Source organism: Homo sapiens, chromosome 2, assembly GCF_000001405.40.
Source record: "Homo sapiens chromosome 2, GRCh38.p14 Primary Assembly".
In the NCBI taxonomy this organism is placed as follows: Eukaryota; Metazoa; Chordata; class Mammalia; order Primates; family Hominidae; genus Homo; species Homo sapiens.
In genome coordinates, this window is record NC_000002.12 from 22,964,413 (window position 1) to 22,991,541 (window position 27,129).

The 27,129-nt window shown below is 39.2% G+C and overlaps 2 annotated features.

The window, feature by feature from the left end:
• Nucleotides 5,586–6,516: an enhancer, noted in NCBI's record as "OCT4-NANOG-H3K27ac hESC enhancer chr2:23192870-23193800 (GRCh37/hg19 assembly coordinates)". NCBI's record gives its function as "activates a minimal SCP1, AML or CMV promoter by ChIP-STARR-seq in naive and primed H9 embryonic stem cells {active_cell/tissue: H9 hESC(naive and primed)}" and the evidence as "EXISTENCE:reporter gene assay evidence [ECO:0000049][PMID:30033119]".
• Nucleotides 20,023–20,641: an enhancer, noted in NCBI's record as "H3K27ac-H3K4me1 hESC enhancer chr2:23207307-23207925 (GRCh37/hg19 assembly coordinates)". NCBI's record gives its function as "activates a minimal SCP1, AML or CMV promoter by ChIP-STARR-seq in naive H9 embryonic stem cells {active_cell/tissue: H9 hESC(naive)}" and the evidence as "EXISTENCE:reporter gene assay evidence [ECO:0000049][PMID:30033119]".

The window sequence follows — 27,129 nt, forward strand, 5'->3', positions numbered from 1 at the left end:
ACTAATTTTAGGAATTTATAAGGCCATTTAAGCAAAAATGGGTGCACTATTTTTATATATCATCAGCGGGACTGAAAACAAGTGTTGTTTGTTTGCTGTTATTATTTTAGTAGATTTGAAAAAAAGGTACTTCAAGGTTGCTTTCATTTTGACTTCTTTGATTCTCTCATTTTTATTTTTAAAATCTGATTGCCTGAATACAAAACACTGCTTTTTTACCTTCTGGAAGGCATAACTTTATTTATTAAACCTGAGGTTCTTTGTATTTTCAACCAGAGAACAGAGACTGCATCAAAGACCAAGACAGGGAAGTAAATTACACAAAACAACAAGGTTTTTCCATTTGGACAACTGAATCATGAAAGCTACCTACAGTTGAAATATGAAAAAGACTGATGGAGTCTGCAAGGCAAAACTGCCATGTTGGCACCTTATTAAATACTGGATTATAAAATACTTAAGGTAAATAAGCAATATTCACATGCAATACTAAGGCCTAGAGTTGACATGATTCCCAAGGGTTCAGAGAATATCAATAATTTTTGACCAATTGAAGAGTGGCCCTAAGGTAATTTTTTTAATCCTTTATTTGCTTTTGCTGAGTAAAAATTTTGAGGTTTACATTCTGAAGGCTTGATTATTCAGATTATTTCTATATAGCTAAATAAATTTGTAAGTAAAGGCTTTCTCAGTACATTATTTCATGTTAAAAATGATAATAGCTATTTAGACCACTTATGACTCTATTTTATTGCTATGATTAGCTTTAATATATAGCTTTTAAAATTGAATATGGGCTCTATCCCAACCGTCTTCAAATTTTTACTTTCAGAAATAGTGCTTGGAAATTTCAATTACTAATTTAATTCTACTATCAAATATGAGATGCTCTGCACAATTTATGTTTTTCTTATTGTCTGGAAATTTTATATCAATTAGGTATCATGCCTTTTAGTTTCAACTAGATTTTATGTACCTGTATTATTTTTAAAAAATGAAGCACAATTTACATATAACATCAACCATTTTTGAAGTGCATTTCTATGAGTTTGAAAATAAGATCATAAATAATGTACCAGCTTCCAGAATCAAGATGTAGAACAGTTTCATTACCTTCAAACATATTCCCATACTCCTTTATAGTCAACCTCTCCCCATCTTCAGCCCCTATCAACTACTGATCTGTTTTGGCCTTTTCTAGAATATCACAGAAATGAAATTATGCAGTATACAGCCTTTTGAGTCAGCCTCTTTCAATTAGCAGAATGCATTTGAGTTTCATACAGGGTGTTCCTTTATTTTGCTAAATATTGGTAAATAGTATTCCTTTGCATGTATATACCACAATTTGTCTATTTATTTTACTTTAAGTACATTTGCATCATCTTCAGGTCAGACCAATCATGGATAAAGTTGCTATATACATTCATGTACAAGTTTTTATCTCTTGTGGACAAATAAAACTGACAAATTGCTTTCCAAAATGGCTGAACATGTTTTATTTTCATCCTATTGCAATCCATGAGCATTCCAGTTGCTCTACATTCTCATCAGCACTTGGCATTGTCTGCTGTTTTTATTTTAGCCTATTTATTTGGTGTGTATCCCATTGTGATTTTAATCTGCATTTTTTATGACTAATTAAGCTGAGTAAACTTTCATGGGCTTATTGGCCATCCATATTTTTTGATGAAGTGCCTGTTCAAATATTTTTTCATAGTTAATTGGATTAGTTGTTTTCTTATTATTGAGTTTTGAGTTGAGTTTATATATTCCAAATACAAGTCCTTAATATTTTGCCAATGTTTTCTTTCAGTCTGTGGCTTGTCTTTTCATTTTCTTAACAGTACTTTTTTGCAAAACAGAAGTTTTCAATTGTGAAAAATTCTAATTTATAATCATTTTTAACAGTATGCATTTTTGTGTTTTTGTTTTTTGCCCCTATCTTTTTTTTACTCCTAGTGACACCTCAACTGACCATGTTCAGCAGGAATGGTTTGGTCTGTTTCACTAGCACATCCAGTGGCTACTGAATCTCTTTAACATGAAGGAAGCAAATAAGAAGACATGGAAAGAACATCAAACTGAGAGTCAAGATGTCTAGATTCTTGTTTTGCCTTTAACCTTCAGCTAATGATTTAAATTCAGCTAATGATTTAAATTCACTAGACTTCCATTCCTTAACCTACATTTTATTTTTATTTATTTATTTATTTAAAGATAGGGTTTCTCTCTGTTGCCCATGCTGGAGTGCAATAGTGTGATCATAACTCACTGCATCCTTGACCTGAGATCAAGAGATCCTCCTGCCTCAGCCTCTGAAGTAGCTGGGAATGCAGGCATGAGCCACCACACCCAGCTCTTATCTACACTTTATAAATAAAACCTGCTTTACCCATCTCAGGAATAATGAGGATAACATTAAATAAAAGATTCAAAAGTACTTGCAAAGTACTGGAAGGATTATACTTGCATAGAACATCACTAAAGAAACATTTTCTGCTTCTAATAGCCTCCCATCAACTTTGATGAACTTACTTGGACCCCACATTACAAAGGTATTTCTGTAACTACAAACACAAAAACTCTTATATGTTAAGTACTCGGTGCATTCCTATTTTTCTCTAGAATATTCTTTAGCAACTTCAAACTTGCTTTTCATTCTATCAAATTTCTTTTTTAAAATTCCATATATATAACACTGGATAGTACTAGGATTTTATTTCAAAAACTTATATATTTTTTAAATTTTTTCAAAAAGAAATGCCCTAACCAGCAACGTAATTGAGATTCCTTCCTTTGGACATTTGGCAGAAACGTCTTCTTTCATGAAATAGTGGTGTTATTTAATAATGAAGCATGATTTTTCCCCCTCTCTCTCTCAAAAGTGAAAATTGAAGTATAGCAGAAGATTCAACATTCTCGAGGATATACATGTGTGCTTTTTCTAGTAAAACTAGATTTTAAAAAACAATATTTCTGTGAACAGGAATATTTGTGGTTAAGCATTTTATCTATGTGGTTCTAAATATTGAAACTAATAAAGGAATACTTTTAAAGAAAAAAGGTTTAGTCTGTATAAGCACAGAGAGTGGATAATATGCCACTATCACAAAGTTTTTAATACATTTGCTTAATATTTTTAAGTAAACTCTTTTTAATGTTAAAAAGTCTTTTTTCTAAGTTGTGTAGCTAATTATGGCAAAATTGCTATTAGCTTATTTTGGGAAATAGGTAAATCTCACATTGAACTCTTGTGATAATGAGTCAGCACAAACCTACAATAATTATTTTTAAATGAAAATCAAATTGTGTCACCCCTCTAGTCAATGGCTTTGCCATCTCGCTCGGAGTGAAAGCCACAGTCCTCCCAAGGGCCCAATCTCAACGCCCCCTGCCACGTCCTCTCCCATCACTCTGTTCTCTTGCCTGCCCACTCCAGTTGACTGGTCCCCTTCCTCTTTCTTGTTCATTTCAGGCCTTATGCTCTTACTAGTGTCTTCCGCCTGGAATGCTTTTCCCTGGATAACACATTCCTGGCCCAGGACCAGCTACATAATGTTTCATGCTCAGTGTAAAATGAAAAATGCTTTTCACTACAAATTGGTAAGAATCACAAGATGGCAACAGCAGAGCATTAAACCAAGTGTGGGGTCCTGTGCAATTGCATGAGTGGTGTATTAGTCCATTCTCCCTCTGCTATTAGGACATACCTGAGACTGGGTAATTTATAAAGGAAAGAACTTTAATTGACTCACAGTTCCGCATGGCTAGGGAGGCCTCATGGAACTTACAATCATGGTGAAAGGGAAAGCCAATATGTCCTTCTTCACACGGTGGCAGCAAGGAGAAGTGCAGATTGAACATGGGAAAAAACCCCCCGATAAAACTATCAGATCTCATGAGAACTCACTCACTATCACAAGAACAGCATGGAGGTAACCACCCCCATGATGCAATTACTTCCCAGCAGGTTCCTACCACAATACATGGGGATTACGGGAACTACAATTCAAGATGAGATTTGGGCAGGGACACAGCCAACCACATCAGACGGTGTGCTCAGGGAAGCCTAACTGCCTGGCTTCTTACTTCCCTCATCTTTGTTCCAGTGTCACCATATATTAGAGAAGTCATTCTTCTCACCATTCTATGTGGGATAGTTACTCCTGTGGCACTCTTTGTTTCTTTCCCTTGTTTTGCAGTTCTCCTTAGCACTTGCCACCAGCTAATCTACTCTGCACTAAATCATTTACTTCTTTCTTTGGTGTCTATCTCCTCCTGTGGAAATATAAGGGCCATACATGCTTTATCACCCAGGGTATAGAATATGCCCACCACAGAGTAGCCACTCAAATATTTGCTGATTGAATGAACAAATGAATAGATGACCAGTAGTGAAAAGCGAGGCCATATAAATAAAAAGCAAAGTTTGTTGTTGTTTTTTTTTAAGGATTCAAGAGTCACATCAGAATTTAAAACAGAGAATACAGAAACTCTGTTTTGTATGCATATGGGGGGTCCAAATTTAAGAATGCAAATTGGGGAATGAGGAGAATGGATTTTGCTTCAGCTCTAACACTGTCTGGCTCTGCGACTTTGGAGCAGTCTCTTGACCTCCCTGAATCCCATGTTGTCACCAGTGTAGTGAGAGGCCTTCTAGCATTCTGTGACTTTATGGAACAATCTTACACACTTGTAAGTCCAAGCTCAACATTCTAAGTAAACATTGAAGTAATCTTGTCAGTTGAAGCTATTTTCTGTATGTTTGGGTCAAAACCCAAAACTGCAGACACTCTCTTTGTATTACCAGTCTAGTATGTATACAGTCTTTTTCCTTCAATATGATAGTCTAGTTATGGCCTCAGAAAATCATTTCCCCAAGGAAAAAAATTAGTCTACTTTGAGGAAGAGCTAGAATTATTATAAATGGCTTGTGCATCAGTTTGTGGAACTTGAACCCTTAAATGGGGATATATGGATATGCTTATTCAGACCCATAGGATGTTATATGTTGGTTCCTTAGAAAGAGCTAGAAACCTAAATGTAGAGCCTGCTGACCCTCTATTTCCTTACTGCTGGTTGAGACATTATGGGGTGTCTATTGCTGAATCCATTGTAGAAAACAGAATCCTCATTTAATATGTCAAGCTCCTTTTTTGTATTATTAATTCCAAAAATCATGAAGAAATGTTCTGATCATAAATTCTCTTGGCATAGATGATATGAAAACACAAAACATTAAAATGCCTTCTGGCTCTGTATATGTCTGCGTTGAAAAATATTTGTTTTCCAAACCTCAGCCTCTCTCCTTTGTGGTCAATAATTGTGCACAGTATTTGCTTTGTAGTTTGTTTTTCATGTCCATTTTGCTTAAGATAATGTCCTGTGTCCTTTTTTTATACTTCTAATACATTTTTCCTCTGCTCACTGTGTTATTTGCAAAGAAACAAACAGATTTTTCCCCAGAATTCACATTAATCCTTCCCACTGAAATATTTTTCCATGTGCTTTTATCACTATTTTAAAATAATCTTGTTTCATCTGATGGAATGTGAGCAAGATGGACCTCGATTACATAAAAATGGACAGAGGCAAAATGAACCAAAGTGAGACCCAATGCAAATGCTGAGAGCAAGGTTATAGACTTGGTCAATTGAATAGGGAAAGGCTTAAGAGTTCTATAAATCTCAGTACAAGGTCAGAATAGGAATTAAGAAAGCAGAGCAAGATAGCTGAAGAGAAGCCTCCACCCATCATCCTCCCTTACAAAGACACTTTCACACGCGTCCCTGTGAAGAGACCACCAAACAGGCTTTGTGTGAGCAATAAAAGCTTTTAATCACCTGGGTGCAGGCAGGCTGAGTCCAAAAAGAGTCAGCAAAGGGAGATAGGGGTGGGGCCATTTGATAGGATTTGGGTAGGTAAAGGAAAAAGGGGGGTTGTTCTCTGGCAGGCAGGAGGGGGGGTCACAAGGTGCTCAGTAGGGGAGCTTTTAAGCCAGCATGAGCCAGGAGAAGGAATTTCACAAGACAATGCCATCAGTTAAGTCAGGAACGGGCCATTTTCATTTATTTTGTGGTGGAATGCCAACAGTTAAGGCAGGAACCGGCCATCTGGATGTGTAAATGCAGGTCACAGGGGATATGATGGCTTACTTGGGCTCAGAGGCCTGACAGACACCAGTTTAACAACTATCTACATATATTTTTTTAAAAACACGCTCTTAAGAACCAAAAATCAGGTGAGCACTCACAGTACCTGGTTCTAGCAACTTTGTATTCCTGAAAGAGTTACTCAAGAGGTAGGAAAAGCAGTCTTGAATTGCAAACACCACCCCTCCCCGACCCCGGGTAGCCGCTGCCTGGTGCAGAGAGCATCTCTGTGCACTGGGGGAGGGAGAACACAGCGATGGTGAGGCATTTAACTCAGTGCTGTCCCGTTATAGCAGAAAGAAAAACTGGACCAAATTCAGCTGACTCCTGCCCATGGAGGGAACATTTAAATCAGCCCTAGCCAGAAGGGAATCCTGGATCCCAGAGGTCAGAACTTGAGTTCTGGCAAACCTTGCCACTGGGGTCTAAAGTACTCAGGGGCTCTAAATAAACTTGAAATGTAGTTTAGGCCACAGGATCTGTAACTTCTAGAGGAGTTCTACTGTTGAACTGAGCCCAGAGCCAGTAGACTGTGGGGGGGGTGGGGGGGGGGCAGGGGAATGCAACCTGCTGAAGATACCCGCTGGGACAGCTAAAGGAGTGCTGGCATCACCCCTCCCCTAGCCCCAGGGAGCAAAGCTCACTGCTCCAAAAGAGAGCCCTTCTTTCTGCTTGAGAAGAGCAGAGGAAAGAGTGGGGAGGAGTTTGTCTTGTGTCTTGGATACCAGCTCAGCCACAGCAGGGTAGGGCACTGGTCAGAGTGTTGAGACCCCCATTCCTGGCTCTAGCTCCTGGACATTTCTAGACACACCACGGGCCAGAAGGGAACCCGCTGCCTTGAAGGGAAGGACCCAGTCCTGGCAGCATTAATCACCTGCTAACTAAAGAGCCCTTGGGCCCTGAATAACCAGCAATAATATCCAAGGTACTATGATGAGGGTCTTTCGAATGACTCTGAGACTAGGTATAGGAGGAATATACCTCAACATAATAAAAGCCATATATGACATATCTACACCTAGTATCATACTGAATGGGGAAAAACTGAAATCCTTTCCACTGAGATCTGAAAAATGACAAGGATGCCCATTTTTTTCACCACTGTTATTCAACATAATACTAGAAATTCTAGCTAGAGCAATCAAACAAGAGAAAAAAAAAGGCATCCAAATTTGAAAGGAAGAAGTCAAATTATCCTGTTTGCACATGATATGATCTCATATTTGGAAAAATATGAAGACTCCACAGATAAACTTTTAGAACTGATAAATCCAGTAAAGTTGCAGGATACAAAATCAACATACAAAAATCAGTAGCATTTCTATATGCCAGCAGGGAAAAATCTGAAAAAGAAATCAAAAAAGTAATCCCATTTACAATAGCCACACATAAAATTAAATACCTAGAAATTAACCAAAGAAGTGAACAATCTCTGTAATAAAAACTGTAAGACACTGATGAAAAAGAAATTGAAGAGGACACAAAAAAATATTCCATGTTCATGGATTGGAAGAATCAGTATTGTTAAAATGTCTGTACTACCCAAAGTAGCCGTCTACAGGTTCAATACAATCCCTATCAAAGTACCAATGACATTCTTCACAGAAATAGAAACAATCCTAAAACTTATATGAATTCACAAAAGACCCAGGATAGCCAAAGCTATCCTAAGCAAAAAGAACAAAACTGGACGAATCACATTACCTGACTTCAAATTATACTGCAAAGCAATAGTAACCAAAACAGGATGGTACTGACATAAAAACAGACACACATAGATCAGTGGAATAGAATAGAGAACCCAGAGACAAATTTGCACACCTACAGTGAACTTATTTTTGGCAAAAGTGCCAAGAGCATATATTGGGAAAAAGACATTCTCTTCAATAAATGGTGCTGGGAAAACTGGATATCCACATGCAGAAAAATGAAACTAGACCCCTATCTCTTGCCACGTACAAAAATCAAATCAAAATAGATTAAATATTTAAATCTAAGACCTCAAACTCTGAAACTACTGCAAGAGAACTTTGGGGAAAATCCCCATGATATTGGTCACAGCAAAAATTTCTTAACTAATACCCCACAAGCACAGGCAACCAAAGCAAAAATGAACAAAATTAACATTAAGTTTAAAAGGTCCTGCACAGCAAGGGAAAGTAATCAATTGATAAAGTCAAAAGACAACCCACAGAATGGGAGAAAATATTTTCAAACTACCCATCTGACAAGGCATTATTAAACAGAATATATAAGAAGCTCAAACAACTGTACAGGAAAAAAATCTAGTAATTGATCAAAAAATGGGCAAAAGATTTGAATAAACATTTTTCAAAAGAAGACATACAAATGGCAAACAGGCACATTAAAAGGTGCTCAGTATCACTGATCATCAGAGAAATGCAAATCAAAACTACAATGGGATATAGTGTCATCTCACCCAGTTAAAATGGCTTATATCCAAAAGACAGGCAGTAACAAATGCTGGGGACAAGATGGAGAAAAGCAAACCCTCATATGCTGTGGATGGGAATGTGAATTAGTACAACCACTATGGAGAACAGTTTGGAGGTACCTCAAAAAAACTAAAAGTAGAGTGTGATGGTTAATACTAAGTGTCAACTTGATTGAAGGATGCAACGTATTGATCCTGGGTGTGTCTGTGAAAGTGTTGCCAAAGGAAATTAACATAGGAGTCAGTGGGCTGGGAAAGGCAGACCCATCCTTAATCTGGGTGGGCACAATCTAATCAGCTGCCAGCATGGCTAGAATATAAAGCAGGCAGAAAAACGTGAAAAAAATAAACTGGCCTAGCCTCCCAGCCTACATCTTTCTCCCACGTTGGACCCTTCCTGCCCTTGAACATCAGACTCCAAGTTCTTCAGTTTTAGACTCAGTCTGGCTTTCCTTGCCTCTCGGCTTACAGACGGCCTATTGTGGGACCTTGTGATTGTGTGAGTTAATACTTAATAAACTCCCCTTTATATAAATACGTTAGTTCTGTCCCCCTATTAGTTCTGTTCCTCTAGAGAACCCTGACTAATACATAGAGCTGCCATATGATCCAGGAATCCCACTGCTGGGTATATACCCAAAAGAAAGGAAATCAGTATATCAAAGAGATATTCCGTGTTTGTTGAGGCACTGTTCACAACAGCCAAAATTTGGAAGCAACCTAAATATCCATCAACAGATGAATTGATAAAGAAAATTTGGTATTTATACACAATGAGTATTATTCAGCCATAAAAAGAATGAGATACTGTCATTTGCAACAACATGGATGGAAGTGGAGATTATTATGTTAAGTGAAATAAGCCAGACACAGAAAGACAAATGTCACATGTCCTCATTTTTGGGATCTAAAAATAGAAACAGTTGGATTCATGGACATACAGAGTAGAAGGATGGTTACCAGAGGCTGGGAAGTGTGGCAGTAGGGGATGGGGAAAAGGAGCATGATTAAAGGGTACAAAGAAATGTTACAAAGAATAAGACCTGCTATTTGACAGCACAACAGAATGACTATAATCAATAACTTAATTGTACATTTTAAAATAACTAAAATATATAATTGGATTGTAACACAAAGGATAAATGCTTGAGGGGAATGAATGTCCTGTTCTCCATGATGTGATTATTACACACTGCATGCCTATATCAAAACATCTCATATGTGCCATAAATATATACACCTACTATGTACCCACAAAAATTAAAAATTTTTTAAAAAGTAGGACTTAATACTGGACTCCATTCATGTCGATTCCTTGTTATCCCCTCAATTAGAAACTCTATTTCTAGAGACTAGGAATATAGGTCCTTACTGGTTATAGTTAGGAAGATGTGGATGCAGGAGACTTGCTTGTTCATCAGAAAGACAGGTTTGGCAGAGCTTGACTTTAGTGCATTAAAGATAAGTCATAATTGAGCACCTTGTCCCTCAGTGAGGACAAATAAGCAGAAAAAGTGCTATATTTATATAGTATGCCTACGTGTGTTACCAGCATATCAAGAGCATCAGAGAAGCATGCCAACCCAGAACAACTCTTGGGATACACACAACTTACTTAGGGCAGGAAGCCTACTGAGAAAGCTACTCGGCCGCAAACATTGGCTATTTCTTTTGTGAATGAAAAGATGACCCACAGGGTAGAACCAAGAGCCCAAAGAGCAGAGATAGAAACCATGGAGAATCGTTCCCATAGCAGAAGAAGAGGCCTAACTAAGAAGTGACAACATATGCTCAATTGTATTTCAGCACTGGCTGGATTTCTGAATTGGCCTGGACCTGTGACTGCTAAGTGTCTCCTACTATCACCTTTTTAAGTGGGAATGTCTATTATGTTTGTCCCATCCATGCATCACCATTGTATTTTGGCTGTGTAGGAGGAAGATAACATGTCTCTTTATTTTATATATCTTCAGACCAAGAGGAACCATACTCAAAGAATCATACCTGGGGAGCCTCTTTAGCTTACATGCTTAGATTAACAGAAACTGGGGGCCTTAGTTTAAGCTTAATGCTAGAATAGGATTAGAATTTTGAGTCTTGAAAGGCAGTGAATGTATGTGTGTGTGGAAGAAATATAAAGTTTGTGGCCAAAAGGTGGACTGTGATGGGTGAAAGATGGTCACAATTCCTGTGGCACTGCTTCCCTGGAAAGGAGGAGCCCAATATACTCCTCCCCTCTAATCGGAGTTGGCCTTGTGAACTTGTATGACCAATGAAACGCAATGGAATTGACATTCTGGGACTTTTAAGATGCTTTCACCTGGGCCTCTGGAAACATTTTCCAGGAGCGTGAGCCACTATGCAGGAGGACTCCAGTCGACAGTTTCAGCATAGCTCAGCCCTCCAGCTGCCCACATCAAGGGTCAGACACGGTACGAAGCTCTCTTGAACCCTCTCTCTGAACCAGCCCACCCACCTGTCAAATATTAAAAGTGACCTCAACCAATGCCATGTACAGTAGAATTGCCCAGGTAGGCCCTGCCTGAATCTCACCCCCATAAAATTGTGAGAATATTAAAGTAACTTTTTTATGTAAGCCACTAAGTATTTGGGAAAATTTGTGATGCAGCAGTAAATAACCAGAATGAGGTCTCTTCCTCCTTCTGGGTCTCAGTTTCCTCACTGACAAAATGTGAGATTTGAATCAGACCCCTGAGTTTTCTTCCAATTTTAACAAAATTGGCAAAACAACACTTTGCAATTGCCACAATCTTTCTTATAAAATCATCTAAAGGTAGTAAGCATTACAAAATTAAGTCACTTCTAACTTAAACACCTGAACCAGAGTTAAAAAGCTGGGGAACTGTTGCCAGTACATACAAACCACCATTCTGGCTGAAGATAAGCTAACAAGGTTAATGTTTTTATAGAGAGACAAGGTGATTTCTCCTCAATGACTCCAGAAGGGTTAGTGAAATCCACCCAAGTTACCTTAAATCTAAAATATCTCAGTCCTTCAAACAAAAATTTCCATTGAACAAGACATATGAAAATTGGTCTAGAAGATTAATTCCTATCTGCAAACAAGTTGGTGACTATGTATATACAAGAGCAAATGCATGGACTTCTGTCTATTCATTTGGCATAGAAGTTCTTAGCTTGCAGTTTATGTACTCTCAAGGGGTCCATGGATAAAATTCAGGGGTCCATGTACTTTCATGGGAATACAATTATTTATTTTTTAATGTTTAATTGAATTTAGAATTTCAATTATAAATACAGACAAAAAACCCAAAAACTATTAACGGTACCTGTGATTTTTGCCACCACTAGAAATCAACAATGTGTTCGTATAACAGCTGTTGCAAACATCTCAAATTATTATTTATGCTCATCACAATGCTAAAATTAGGTTTATTAATCCCACTGATGCAGCTGCTATATAGTACATTAATAAAAAACATATTTATGTGTACATACACATATATATATCCTACTATAAAACAAATTTGCTTTTCATATGTTGATAACCATATTTTACTATAATTGTTTTGCTTTTTAATGCTATGTGTTTTAGTTTAAATGTTTAAAAACATTATTCTGAGAAAGTATTCATAGGCTGCTTGGACAACCAAGGGGGTCCATGACACCAAAAAAGTGAAAAATCCTTGATGTTCATCCCATTGTACAGCTCTAGCTCACCTGACTTTCCTGCCAGTCAGTACATGTTGAGCACCTGCCATGTGTCCAAGTGGTCTCAGAGGTCAGCTGGCAGATACATTAGTTTTCTCCCATTTTGCTTCCCTTTCCCAATTCCTGTAGTTGCTCTGAATATCAGCCTGTGTCTTCAGACCCTCTTCCCACTCATGGCCCCCTCATTCTTCACAGACGTTTCTGCTCCATACTTCATTATAGAAAAGGTAAAACTTCCTCGTTTTAATCATGCCCAATATTTCTATTGTTACATGTGTGCCACTATCTCTCTAATATATATTTCCAAACCCATCTCTTCTGAGCTTAACAATCTAAATTTCCAGCTGCCTACTAATCTTGAATATCGTTCACATACTTCAAATTAAGTGGGATCATTCATGAAAGGTTCCTGCCATCATAAATGCTGACTCACACTGACCCCTAGGTACATATGGCCACAGCAATTCTGCACGTGAGGCCCTTTGGTGTCACATCTGGATTTAACCTCCTCTCCCTCACCCCCATATATTTCTGAAATCCACTTCTCTTGACTCAGACTCTGCTCAGCTCTTGCACTGACCATTTGACTGGCCTTTTAAAGAATCTCCCAACTTCTAGTATCTCATTTTTTTCCAATCCGACTAGAATTATCTTTCTAGAACTCAAATTTGACCATTTCACTTTTCACCGTAAAAGTTGCACTGCATAAACTGTTAGGTCTCACCTGGGTGATTCATTAAAACACAAACTGCTTGGCCCCAACCCCAGAGTATCTGATTCAGTACATCTGCTGTGGGGCCTGAAATTTTGCATTTCTAACCAGTTTCCAGGTTAGAAACTGATGCTGCTGGTCAGGAAACCACACTTGAGAATTCCTGGCCTAGAACATCGTCCTTAAATCTGTTTGATTTGCAGTTCTTCCAGGAAAAATTGTTTCAGACCTCCGTTATAGGTATGCCTAATTATTTATAAATTACTTACAGGTTCTAATGCATTAACATGGCAGGTACATTATGAAACACATTACAAATAATCATTTTAAAAGATAAAACAAAAAAGGAATAGAAAATTTAAGAATATTCTTTCTGTACCCACATGAATGTTATACACCTCACATCAGAATATTCTGGGAGGGACAGAGATTAAGAATGAGCCTTGGGCTGAGATATTAAGTCCTATACTCTTTGTCATTCTAGTCAATCATAGTCAGTCTGTTTGCTTTCTAATCCTGGCTCCAGGCTATAGAAAGTTACAACCTTAGGGAAGATCCTTCACCTCTGTAAGCCTCTATGTCTTCCTCTGTAAAATGGAGATAATATTCAGTAACAACCTTATAGGATTGTTTTTAAGATTAAATAAATTAATATGCATAAATGGCTTAACAAATTCTTGGCATATAATAAATGCTCGATTAATGCTGACTATTATGATTGCTCCCAGTTAGTACCTTATGCTATAACCATGCCGCTCAGTTCTCTATTTCCTGAGTAAATATCCATAACTCAGTGTCTTTACTTGTGTTGTAGCCTCTGCCTGGAATATCTTTCCTTTATCTCAACTTGGGAATATCCTTCTCGTCTTTCACAATCAAGCTGAAAATGTTACGTCCGTTATGACAGTAACTTACCTGAACATCCTGGCATAATTAATTGCTCTCTCCTCTTTGTTCTCACAGTACTGTTACAAATCTCTAAATATTCCTTCCCACAATGTATTATGTACAGTTGCTTATATGCCATTTCTTCCAATATTGTGAGCTCCTTGATATGGAGTTCATGGTGACCTATATATCCATCACATCACTGGAGAAAATGCTTGGCACGTAGGAGTTGCTAGATATTGATTGTGAAAGAGAGTGAAGACATGAGGGAGCTGGAGATAGAGGAAAAAGATGTAGGAAAAGAAAGAAAAAGAGAGAGAAGGAAGAAAAATGAAGGGGAAAGAAAGGAAAGGTTGGTCACCAGCTCTTCTCAAGTTCATGCTAGTATTTGGAAAAGCGTGACAATTTAGTCCCAGCCCTATAGCCTAACCCCAATGCAGATAATGTCTTTCCCATGTGACTCCCCTCTTCAGCCTCACTTTCTCTGGTCCCTTGGACAAGAAGCCTGAGATATGATTTAAAAAAAAATTGTGTGTGCTCCTGGATTCTAAAACCCTTGGAATCTTCAGAATGATGAGTATCTTTTGTATACCAGTAGGATGATTGGTGACTGGGGGCACCTATATAGCTTCAGGATGGGAATTGGACCCCCAAAAAACCAAGTCTTGACTAGAATCTTAGAACTTCCTGCTCTACACCCCAGCTTTTGGGAAGGGGAGAGGGACTGGAAATTGAGTTCAATCACCAATGGCCAATAATTTAACCAATCATGTCTATGTAATAAACCTTCACAAAAATCCCTAAACAATGGGGTGAAGAGAGCTTCCAGATTGATGAACACATCCACGCGTTGGGAGTGCAGTACATCCCAACTTCACCTGACAGAAGCTCTTACACCCAGGACCCTTCCAGCCTTCACCCTAAGTATCTCTTCATTTGCCTGTTCATTGGTATCTCCATAACTGAAGTGTTTCCCTGAGTTCTGTGAGCTATTTTGGCAAATTAGAAGGGTGCTATGGGAACTCCTAATTCATGATTGGTCAGAAGTACAGATGGCAATCTGAGACTTGCAACTGGCATGTGAAGTGGGAGCAGTCTCATGGGACTGAGCCCGTGGGCTCTGCCTGAACTCTGCGTAGTCTAGAATTGAATTGAATTGTGGGACACCCAGTTGGTGTCCAGAAAGTTGGAGAATTGGTTAGTGCAGATAAAAACCACACACACATTTGGTGTCAGAAGTGTCTGGAGTAAAAACAGTTCAGAGAGGCCAATCAGGGTACCAATGGAGTCTGCAGCTGTCTTATAAAAATATGCTAGCTAAACCAACAGGCACCACACCCTGAACTATTCTCTCATGGCCCCACATCCCGTTCACCTCAATGGAAAGTCCATGCAAGGGTGACACAGCCACTAGAACTGATACCTCAGTTCTCCTCTCTGGTTTCTATAATTTCATGGCCTTAGGATATCAAAAATAAATGCCTGTTCTCAGTCTGAAAATTCTCCCAAACCCCATTAATAACATTGCTTAAGCTCACAGGCCCTGAAGGCCTCTAATTATGTTTCCTTGAGTCAATCTTTAAGTCCTTTGTTATAGTACGTTCCAGTACACATCCACATCCATTTGAACCCTGAGTACAATGTCTCAGAGTTCACACTCCCTGCACTATCAACAAGATTCCTGGCTGGGTATGGTGGCTCACGCCTGTAATTCCAGCACTTTGGGAGGCCAAGGCAGGTGGATCACGAGGTCAGGAGATTGAGACCATCCTGGCTAACACAGTGAAACTCCGTCTCTACTAAAAATACAAAAAATTAGCCGGGTGTGGTCGTGGGTGCCTGTAGTCCCAGCTACTCAGGAGGCTGAGGCAGGAAAATGGCGTGAACCTAGGAGGTGGAGCTTGCAGTGAGCCAAGATAGCACCACTGCACTCCAGCCTGGGCAAAGGAGCAAGACTCCATCTCAAAAAATAAAAATAAAAATAAATAAAAAATATTCCTGTGTTGTCTTCAGGACTCGACAGTTCTTGCAGAGTTACTACTCGATTGTCTGAGTAGGCCTGCTCTGTAAATCCTTATTGCTTGCTTACTGTGTGAAAGGAAAAGTAGAATCAAATTACACTGCCATTTAATAAGCCCATCAAGGCCCTCTACCACCTGCTAACAAGGTTCACATTGTCCCCCTACCTCTGCCCAGATTCCCCCTTCAATGGAGCTCTGTTTGCATGTGCTCATGATTACTAGGCTATATTACTTTGAAAGAAAAGCTGGCTTCATGTTATATAAAGTACATTCCTAATCTGTGGCACACAGCATAAGGGAGCTGGATATACCCTTGTCAGCCCTAATGAAAGAAGAATATTAGACCCATTAAAAGGCTAAAGTCCAATCACCCTTCAGTGATTTTTCTTCTCATCAGCAAAAATGCTCATTAATTCTAATATCTTTGCTTTCAGGCATGAACTATGAGATCTGAACAAAAATTTCATTTGTAATGAATACATTCTGTCAGAAGTAGAATTATGATGATTCTACTCGTGATAATAATAAGCCATATCAAGAGAACAAGAGGATTCTGTGTTCTCAGCTAGCAGGGGGTCTGTGAGACCCTCTGTCCATGACATGGTCTTGTGATGCTCCATAGCATCTATATAAATAATGAGACTACGCAAACAGGAAGTTGATCTTCTAACCAACAGACCATAATGCAGACATCCATAACTGACTGCATCTGATGATAAGGATATGGTCTCTTCTTCTGAATAACCCTGACAGCCTATTTATGAGCCTACATTTACAGGGATGTGTTTTCTGGAATGAAAGTTTACTGTAAGGATACTTCAACAACTAGGTCGATGGCTACAGAGTCACCTTGGAACCCAGAGCTTCTAAGCCTGGGTCATTCTAAACAAAGAGATCATAGCTTTCTATGGTTTAGGAATTGACTCTCATAACCTGGGTCTTCTTGTTTGACTTAGCATGTATATTTTCCATTACAGGAAATCTTGGAGCTCTGTATACATGTACTTAGAAAAACTTATTTGATGAGTAAGTGAAGACGTTCAGCCTTGCCACAATCCAACACTATCCAGTTGCTTTCCTGGTCCTTAAGGAATAAGGCTGTTTATAAGTCTGGACAATTCTGTCATTCTCCCCCAAACCGATCCTAATCCCACCAACATGCTGAAGGCAGGGGAAGACCTCATGGAACTGCCCTATCAGTCCTGGCCTCTTCACCTCCAAAACTATTTAACATGAAAGCATAGCCTACTACATTTTTTAAGCCACTATATTTGAATCTCTGTACTAATGGTCAAGTACAGTTTCTAATTGATAGTGACGTATATTAATGTTCTCATTTAAAAAAAAGCAAACTGGTTAAGCACGCTTAAGACACAGGCACCAAATCACACATCTAGATAGCATGAAGTCAGGCTTTTAAACCTTGGTCCCTGATAGCAAAGCCCTGTTCTTCCTAATGTGCCCATGACTATGGTAGCCATGAATCAATAGAGCAATTAGAATTGTTATGTCTATTGTAATATTGAGTTAGAAAAAGGATTTGGTTTCAATAGATCAAAGAGAAAAGAAATTAGAAAGAGAGCCTGTGGGGAAATGTGTATGTGGAGAGTTGCCAGAAGAGAGGCCAGCCAAAAAGGGATTTAACACAATTGCTTATCAAATGGGCAAAGGACAGGACATGCAATTCACAAGCGAGGACACATAATTAGAAGACAAATGGGGAAAACATATTATGTTTCTAGATATCAAGGAAAGGCAAATTAAAACAACAGTTTTATGCTCTCTAAGACAACAAAGAAAGGAATATCAGCACCCAATGTTTCCAAGGGTGTCATGAAACCCTGCACACAAATGTACCCTGGTGAAAATATAATTTGGAAATCCCATTTAACACAAATTTACCTATAATTATCAAGAGTCATGCAGATGTTTATGCTTTTTATCTTAAAGAAAATATCTGAAATATTTTATACATATAAAGATGCAAACCATGACAATATTCAGAACAGCAAAAGTTTAAAGTTAAGTGTCCCTGAACAAGATGTTTAGGTTATATGGAACGTTAACATGGTAGAATATTATCTAGAGTTAGCTCAGGCACTACCCTCTCTGGTGCGGACCACTGCAATGGACTTGTTTCTTGTCTTCAGCTTTCTCCTCCCAAGTCTAGGCTTCACCCTACCACCAGAGGGGTTTTATGAACATGGTATTCCTCCTACCTGCATGAGAGCGTTCTGGCTCCTAATGCCTCTGTGGGCTCTTCCCTACCTTCCTCTCCAACCTCATTTTTTGCTGTGGCCCCACCTGGAGACCTCTGTTCCTACTGCACTAAACAAATCATAAACACACCCATTTCCTGCATACACATCCATAATTCAATGTCTTCATTTGTCTTGCAGCTTCTATCTAGAATAGTCTTTCTTCATCTCCTCTTGGTAAAATCCTTCTTGTCTTTAAAACTCAGCTAAAAATATTAGCTTGGCTTTGCACATACATCTTCAGAATTAGTGGGGCCTTATCTGTGCAAGAAGTGCCAGTTTGCCTTCAAAATTGAGCCTAATTGTTGCCTATTTGTAAATATTTTCTTGATTTTTTACACGTCTATTTCCAGGTGAAATCTAACAAGCTTTACTCGGGGCCTCCAATGAACCCTGTACAGATATTTATAACAGCTCCTGTCATTTCTTCTTGTGTGTATGTATTGATGTGTATGTATATACATCACCCTTTATTAAACTTCAAGGTCACGGATATGTCATCAAGTCCAGTAATAGCATCTTATTCACCAGAACTACTTAATGATTATCATATGCCAAGCACTATGTTACGCGTTTTGCATTTTATCTCCATAGCGCAATAAAATTTTATAATTCTAATAATGTATGTTATTGTTATTCTCAATTTAACAGATGAGAAAACTGAGGTTCAAATAAGTAACTTGCTCAAAGCCCAAAGTAAGTAAATGGCATAGCCAAGAATTGAAGACTGGTCTATTGATTCCAGCTGTCTGGCCACCATACTGTCTCATTCCCTTTTCTAACACAGTAGCTTGACACATACTAGGTGTTCAATACTTGTTAGAAAAATTAAATATGTGGCAGTAAGAATAAGTATTTATAACAGATGGAACGTTAAGTTGAAAAATCAGAATGTAAAAATGTATCTACATGTTGACTACAACCCGATTGCAATGATAGGCGCATATTTAGCAAAGACTGGATGGGAACCTGGCAACAGCAAAAGTCAATTTGTTAGAGAAAGAGAATTATGGCAATTTTAAAATGTATTTGTCCCTTGCACAGTATTTTTTAGTTGCGTACCAAGACTTTGTTCATGAGAGACTGGCTCAGCACTGTTCCACCATCAGAGCTCCTAAGAACATCAAAATATTGACTGATTAGAGAAACTCAGAAGCCAGAGGTCCTAACTGGCCAGGTATCAGAATGTTTCTGTTAGAAACTCTATACACATCAGCAGGCCAGGCAAATGGATATGCAGAAAGGAATAAAAATGTCAACTGTCTTTTATATTGAATTATCATATATAAAGAGGATTTGCACAAAAAATTCTATATGAAAAAGAAAAACCAGACTCTTTCAGTACCATTTCATAGAAATAAATCCCAGAGATGAATATCTAAGTGAACTCCCCACCTGTTGAAAAGAATGTGTTGAAAGAGCATAAGAGAAAGGAGAAAGAGAAGAGGAAAAAAAGGAAAGAAAAAAAGGGAAAAAAATTTAGATTTGACAACAAAAAAAAAGAGACAAATTAAAACTGAAATAAATCCATCCATTGGTTTTTCTTAAGAATCATTCCCGGGAGGAGCCAAGATGGCCAAATAGGAACAGCTCCGGTCTACAGCTCCCAGCGTGAGCGACGCAGAAGACGGGTGATTTCTGCATTTCCATCTGAGGTACCGGGTTCATCTCCCTAGGGAGTGCCAGACAGTGGGCGCAAGTCAGTGGGTGCACGCACCGTGCGTGAGCCAAAGCAGGGCGAGGCACTGCCTCACTTGGGAAGTGCAAGGGGTCAGGGAGTTCCCTTTCCGAGTCAAAGAAAGAGGTGACGGACGCACCTGGAAAATCGGGTCACTCCCACCCGAATATTGCGCTTTTTGGACCAGCTTAAAAAACGGCGCACCACGAGATTATATCCTGCACCTGGCTCGGAGGGTCCTACGCCCACGGAGTCTCGCTGATTGCTAGCACAGCAGTCTGAGATCAAACTGCAAGGCGGCAGCGAGGCTGGGGGAGGGGCGCCCGCCATTGCCCAGGCTTGCTTAGGTAAACAAAGCAGCCAGGAAGCTCAAACTGGGTGGAGCCCACCACAGCTCAAGGAGGCCTGCCTGCCTCTATAGGCTCCACCTCTGGGGGCAAGGCACAGACAAACAAAAAGACAGCAGTAACCTCTGCAGACTTACATGTCCCTGTCTGACAGCTTTGAAGAGAGCAGTGGTTCTCCCAGCACGCAGCTGGAGATCTGAGAACAGGCAGACTGCCTCCTCAAGTGGGTCCCTGACCCCTGACCCCTGACCCCCGAGCAGCCTATCTGGGAGGCACCCCCCAGCAGGAGCACACTGACACCTCACACGGCAGGGTATTCCAACAGACCTGCAGCTGAGGGTCCTGTCTGTTAGAAGGAAAACTAACAAACAGAAAGGACATCCACACCAAAAACCCATCTGTACATCACCATCAGCAAAGACCAAAAGTAGATAAAACCACAAAGATGGGGAAAAAACAAAACAGAAAAACTGGAAACTCTAAAACGCAGAGCGCCTCTCCTCCTCCAAAGGAACGCAGTTCCTCACCAGCAACGGAACAAAGCTGGATGGAGAATGACTTTGACGAGCTGAGAGAAGAAGGCTTCAGACGATCAAATTACTCTGAGCTACGGGAGGACATTCAAACCAAAGGCAAAGAAGTTGAAAACTTTGAAAAAAATTTAGAAGAATGTATAACTAGAATAAACAATACAGAGAAGTGCTTAAAGGAGCTGATGGAGCTGAAAACCAAGGCTCGAGAACTACGTGAAGAATGCAGAAGCCTCAGGAGACGATGCGATCAACTGGAAGAAAGGGTATCAGCAATGGAAGATGAAATGAATGAAATGAAGCGAGAAGGGAAGTTTAGAGAAAAAAGAATAAAAAGAAATGAGCAAAGCCTCCAAGAAATATGGGACTATGTGAAAAGACCAAATCTACGTCTGATTGGTGTACCTGAAAGTGATGGGGAGAATGGAACCAAGTTGGAAAACACTCTGCAGGATATTATCCAGGAGAACTTCCCCAATCTAGCAAGGCAGGCCAACGTTCAGATACAGGAAATACAGAGAAAGCCACAAAGATACTCCTCGAGAAGAGCAACTCCAAGACACATAATTGTCAGATTCACCAAAGTTGAAATGAAGGAACAAATGTTAAGGGCAGCCAGAGAGAAAGGTTGGGTTACCCTCAAAAGGAAGCCCATCAGACTAACAGCTTATCTCTTGGCAGAAACTCTACAAGCCAGAAGAGAGTGGGGGCCAATATTCAACATTCTTAAAGAAAAGAATTTTCAACCCAGAATTTCATATCCAGCCAAACGAAGCTTCATAAGTGAAGGAGAAATAAAATACTTTACAGACAAGCAAATGCTGAGAGATTTTGTCACCACCAGGCCTGCCCTAAAAGAGCTCCTGAAGGAAGCGCTAAACATGGAAAGGAACAACTGGTACCAGCCACTGCAAAATCATGCCAAAATGTAAAGACCATCGAGACTAGGAAGAAACTGCATCAACTAATGAGCAAAATCACCAGCTAACATCATAATGACAGGATCAAATTCACACATAACAATATTAACTTTAAATGTAAATGGACTAAATTCTCCAATTAAAAGACACAGACTGGCAAGTTGGATAAAGAGTCAAGACCCATCGTTGTGCTGTATTCAGGAAACCCATCTCACATGCAGAGACACATATAGGCTCAGAATAAAAGGATGGAGGAAGATCTACCAAGCAAATGGAAAACAAAAGAAGGCAGGGGTTGCAATCCTAGTCTCTGATAAAACAGACTTTAAACCAACAAAGATCAAAAGAGACAAAGAAGGCCATTACATAATGGTAAAGGGATCAATTCAACAAGAAGAGCTAACTCTCCTAAATATACATGCACCCAATACAGGAGCACCCAGATTCATAAAGCAAGTCCTGAGTGACCTACAAACAGACTTAGACTCCCACACATTAATAATGGGAGACTTTAACACCCCACTGTCAACATTAGACAGATCAACGAGACAGACAGTTAACAAGGATACCCAGGAATTGAACTCAGCTCTGCACCAAGCGGACCTAATAGACATCTACAGAACTCTCCACCCCAAATCAACAGAATATACATTTTTTTCAGCACCACACCACACCTATTCCAAAATTGACCACATAGTTGGAAGTAAAGCACTCCTCAGCAAATGTAAAAGAACAGAAATTATAACAAACTATCTCTCAGACCACAGTGCAATCAAACTAGAACTCAGGATTAAGAATCTCACTCAAAACCACTCAACTACATGGAAACTGAACAACCTGCTCCTGAATGACTACTGGATACATAACGAAATGAAGGCAGAAATAAAGATGTTCTTTGAAACCAATGAGAACAAAGACACAACATACCAGAATCTCTGGGACACATTCAAAGCAGTGTGTAGAGGGAAATTTATAGCACTAAATGCCCACAAGAGAAAGCAGGAAAGATCCAAAATTGACACCCTAACATCACAATTAAAAGAACTAGAAAAGCAAGAGCAAACACATTCAAAAGCTAGCAGAAGGCAAGAAATAACTAAAATCAGAGCAGAACTGAAGGAAATAGAGACACAAAAAACCCTTCAAAAAATTAATGAATCCAGGAGCTGGTTTTTTGAAAGGATCAACAAAATTGATAGACCCCTAGCAAGACTAATAAAGAAAAAAAGAGAGAAGAATCAAATACACACAATAAAAAATGATAAAGGGGATAACACCACCAATCCCACAGAAATACAAACTACCATCAGAGAATACTACAAACACCTCTACACAAATAAACTAGAAAATCTAGAAGAAATGGATACATTCCTCGACACATACACTCTCCCAAGACTAAACCAGGAAGAAGTTGAATCTCTGAATAGACCAATAACAGGAGCTGAAATTGTGGCAATAATCAGTAGTTTACCAACCAAAAAGAGTCCAGGACCAGATTGATTCACAGCCGAATTCTACCACAGATACAAGGAGGAACTGGTACCATTCCTTCTGAAACTATTCCAATCAATAGAAAAAGAGGGAATCCTCCCTAACTCATTTTATGAGGCCAGCATCATTCTGATACCAAAGCCAGGCAGAGACACAACCAAAAAAGAGAATTTTAGACCAATATCCTTGATGAACATTGATGCAAAAATCCTCAATAAAATACTGGCAAAACGAATACAGCAGCACATCAAAAAGCTTATCCACCACAATCAAGTGGGCTTCATCCCTGGGATGCAAGGCGGGTTCAATATACGCAAATCAATAAATGTAATCCAGCATATAAACAGAGCCAAAGACAAAAACCACATGATTATCTCAATAGATGCAGAAAAAGCCTTTGACAAAATTCAACAACCCTTCATGCTAAAAACTCTCAATAAATTAGGTATTGATGGGACGTATCTCAAAATAATAAGAGCTATCTATGACAAACCCACAGCCAATATCATACTGAATGGGCAAAAACTGGAAGCATTCCCTTTGAAAACTGGCACAAGACAGGGATGCCCTCTCTCACCACTCCTATTCAACATAGTGTTGGAAGTTCTGGCCAGGGCAATTAGGCAGGAGAAGGAAATAAAGGGTATTCAATTAGGAAAAGAGGAAGTCAAATTGTCCCTGTTTGCAGACCACATGATTGTACATCTAGAAAACCCCATTGTCTCAGTCCAAAATCTCCTTAAGCTGATAAGCAACTTCAGCAAAGTCTCAGGATACAAAATCAATGTACACAAATCACAAGCATTCTTATACACCAACAACAGACAAACAGAGAGCCAAATCATGAGTGAACTCCCATTCACAATTGCTTCAAAGAGAACAAAATACCTAGGAATCCAACTTACAAGGGATGTGAAGGACCTCTTCAAGGAGAACTACAAACCACTGCTCAAGGAAATAAAAGAGGATACAAACAAATGGAAGAACATTCCATGCTCATGGGTAGGAAGAAGCAATATCATGAAAATGGCCATACTGCCCAAGGTAATTTATAGATTCAATGCCATCCCCATCAAGCTACCAATGACTTTCTTCACAGAATTGGAAAAAACTACTTTAAAGTTCATATGGAACCAAAAAAGAGCCTGCATTGCCAAGGCAATCCTAAGCCAAAAGAACAAAGCTGGAGGCATCACACTACCTGACTTCAAACTATACTACAAGGCCACAGTAACCAAAACAGCATGGTACTGGTACCAAAACAGAGATATAGATCAATGGAACAGAACAGAGCCCTCAGAAATAAGGCCGCATATCTACAACTATCTGATCTTTGACAAACCTGAGAAAAAACAAGCAATGGGGAAAGGATTCCCTGTTTAATAAATGGTGCTGGGAAAACTGGCTAGCCATATGCAGAAAGCTGAAACTGGATCCCTTCCTTACACCTTATACAAAAATCAATTCAAGATGGATTAAAGACTTAAACGTTAGACCTAAAACCATAAAAACCCTAGAAGAAAATCTAGGCATTACCATTCAGGACATAGGCGTGGGCAAGGACTTCATGTCTAAAACACCAAAAGCAATGGCAACAAAAGCCAAAATTGACAAATGGGATCTAATTAAACTAAAGAGCTTCTGCACAGCAAAAGAAACTACCATCAGAGTGAAATTTTCACAACCTACTCATCTGACAAAGGGCTAATATCCAGAATCTACAATGAACTCAAACAAATTTACAAGAAAAAAACAAACAACCCCATCAAAAAGTGGGCAAAGGACATGGACAGACACTTCTCAAAAGAAGACATTTATGCAGCCAAAAAACACATGAAAAAATGCTCATCATCACTGGCCATCAGAGAAATGCAAATCAAAACCACAATGAGATACCATCTCACACCAGTTAGAATGGCAATCATTAAAAAGTCAGGAAACAACAGGTGCTGGAGAGGATGTGGAGAAATAGGAACAGTTTTACACTGTTGATGGGACTGTAAACTAGTTCAACAATTGTGGAAGTCAGTGTGGCGATTCCTCAGGGACCTAGACCTAGAAATACCATTTGACCCAGCCATCCCATTACTGGGTATATACCCAAAGGACTATAAATCATGCTGCTATAAAGACACATGCACACGTATGTTTATTGCGGCATTATTCACAATAGCAAAGACTTGGAACCAACCCAAATGTCCAACAATGATAGACTGGATTAAGAAAATGTGGCACATATACACCATGGAATACTACGCAGCCATAAAAAATGATGAGTTCATGTCCTTTGTAGGGACATGGATGAAATTGGAAATCATCATTCTCAGTAAACCATCGCAAGAACAAAAAACCGAACACCGCATATTCTCACTCATAGGTGGGAATTGAACAATGAGATCACATGGACACAGGAAGGGGAATATCACACTCTGGGGACTGTGGTGGGGTGGGGGGAGTGGGGAGGGATAGCACTGGGAGATATACCTAACGCTAGATGACGAGTTAGTGGGTGCAGTGCACCAGCATGGCACATGTATACATATGTAACTAACCTGCACAATGTGCACATGTACCCTAAAACTTAAAGTATAATTTAAAAAAAAAACAAAACAAAAAAGAAATAAATTTGCCTTGCTGAGGAAAAAAAAAAAAAAAGAATCATTCCCTGAAATTTTGCATTTCAGAGGTTGCTGTTGCTTAAGTTCACCCTAGGAGCAGGAAAAATGAGGGTGCATTTAACAGAAACAGGAAATTAAGGGGAGGAGATTTTTGGCGAAGGAATACAAGCCAGGAAAGGAGACTCAATAAATGCTTACGGATAGACCATTAAATGAAAGAGTCTTATTTGTTGAGTTTCAGTTTCCAACAGGACATTTTTCATGGCCTGCCAAAGTTAGGCACACCTCCTCTCAAGGGGCAAGACTGCATTTCAGTTACTTCCCTAATTCAATGAGATAGAAATTTCAAGTCTGCAAGAAACAGAGACAGGCTATGCAATTTCTTTAGCTTTTTTATTCCCAATCAAATGCAGGGCCAGACAATACCAGGATTTACCTGTGCTGATCTTGCCGTCTGCCTAAGAGTGGCTGATGAGGGTGATTCCTCAATTGTCCAGGTAAACCTGGACTCTCTACTAGTTCAAAACATGTTGGGTTCAGATGAGGAGTTTCCTTGCAACAGAGCTGAGCCAGTCTGAGCAAATTCATGCTACTACCTTATATGAAGGGAGTGTCTGACCACTCCAATTGTTTCCCTCAGAGTAGAAAGGTGAGTGCATTGTGGCACCCAGTGATTGCTTGGGACCCCAAGGTTTAAAATTCTTTATATGTTAAATGAAAAAATATAAACTAAGCATGCATGATTTCTAAACAAAGAAAATTCTTAAGCAGGAAATTTGGAATTGTATAATCCTTGTAGCAAAGGTTCAACTTTGTGAAAGGTATCTCTTATCTCTGGGGAAGGGCACACAGAGCTCTGCATTATTGTTTAGAAACAATAGATGATATTCACATACTATAATCCCATTTGCTTCCATGAGCAGGAAAAACTTGTTTTATGGGAGTATCAGGGTCTCAGCTCATTAGTGCGTTTTTCTCAAAGTAAACGGAAAGACTGAGGAGGCCAGAGCTTGAGAGGTTAGATTGGGTGGGGGTAGATTAAGGATACGTTGAGGATACCCTGTCATTGAAGCCCTGTTGAAAGATGACCATATATGCCCCTCTCCAAGTCTAACCTTTTCTTACAGAGGCTGACTCCCTCCTCCCATTTGCCAGCACAACCACCTAATCTTTTCTCTACTTTTATAAGTCAACAAGAAAAATAACATTCCCTAAATAAGAGATTTCATTTTTCATCAAAACAGAACCTTCTTTTATGTAGCTACACATAAGCTTCCTTACTGAAGCACCAAATTCAAAAGCAGCTGTAAGTAAAAAGAATTTGCTCTTATCATAAATAAAAGATTGTATATGTGAACTTATT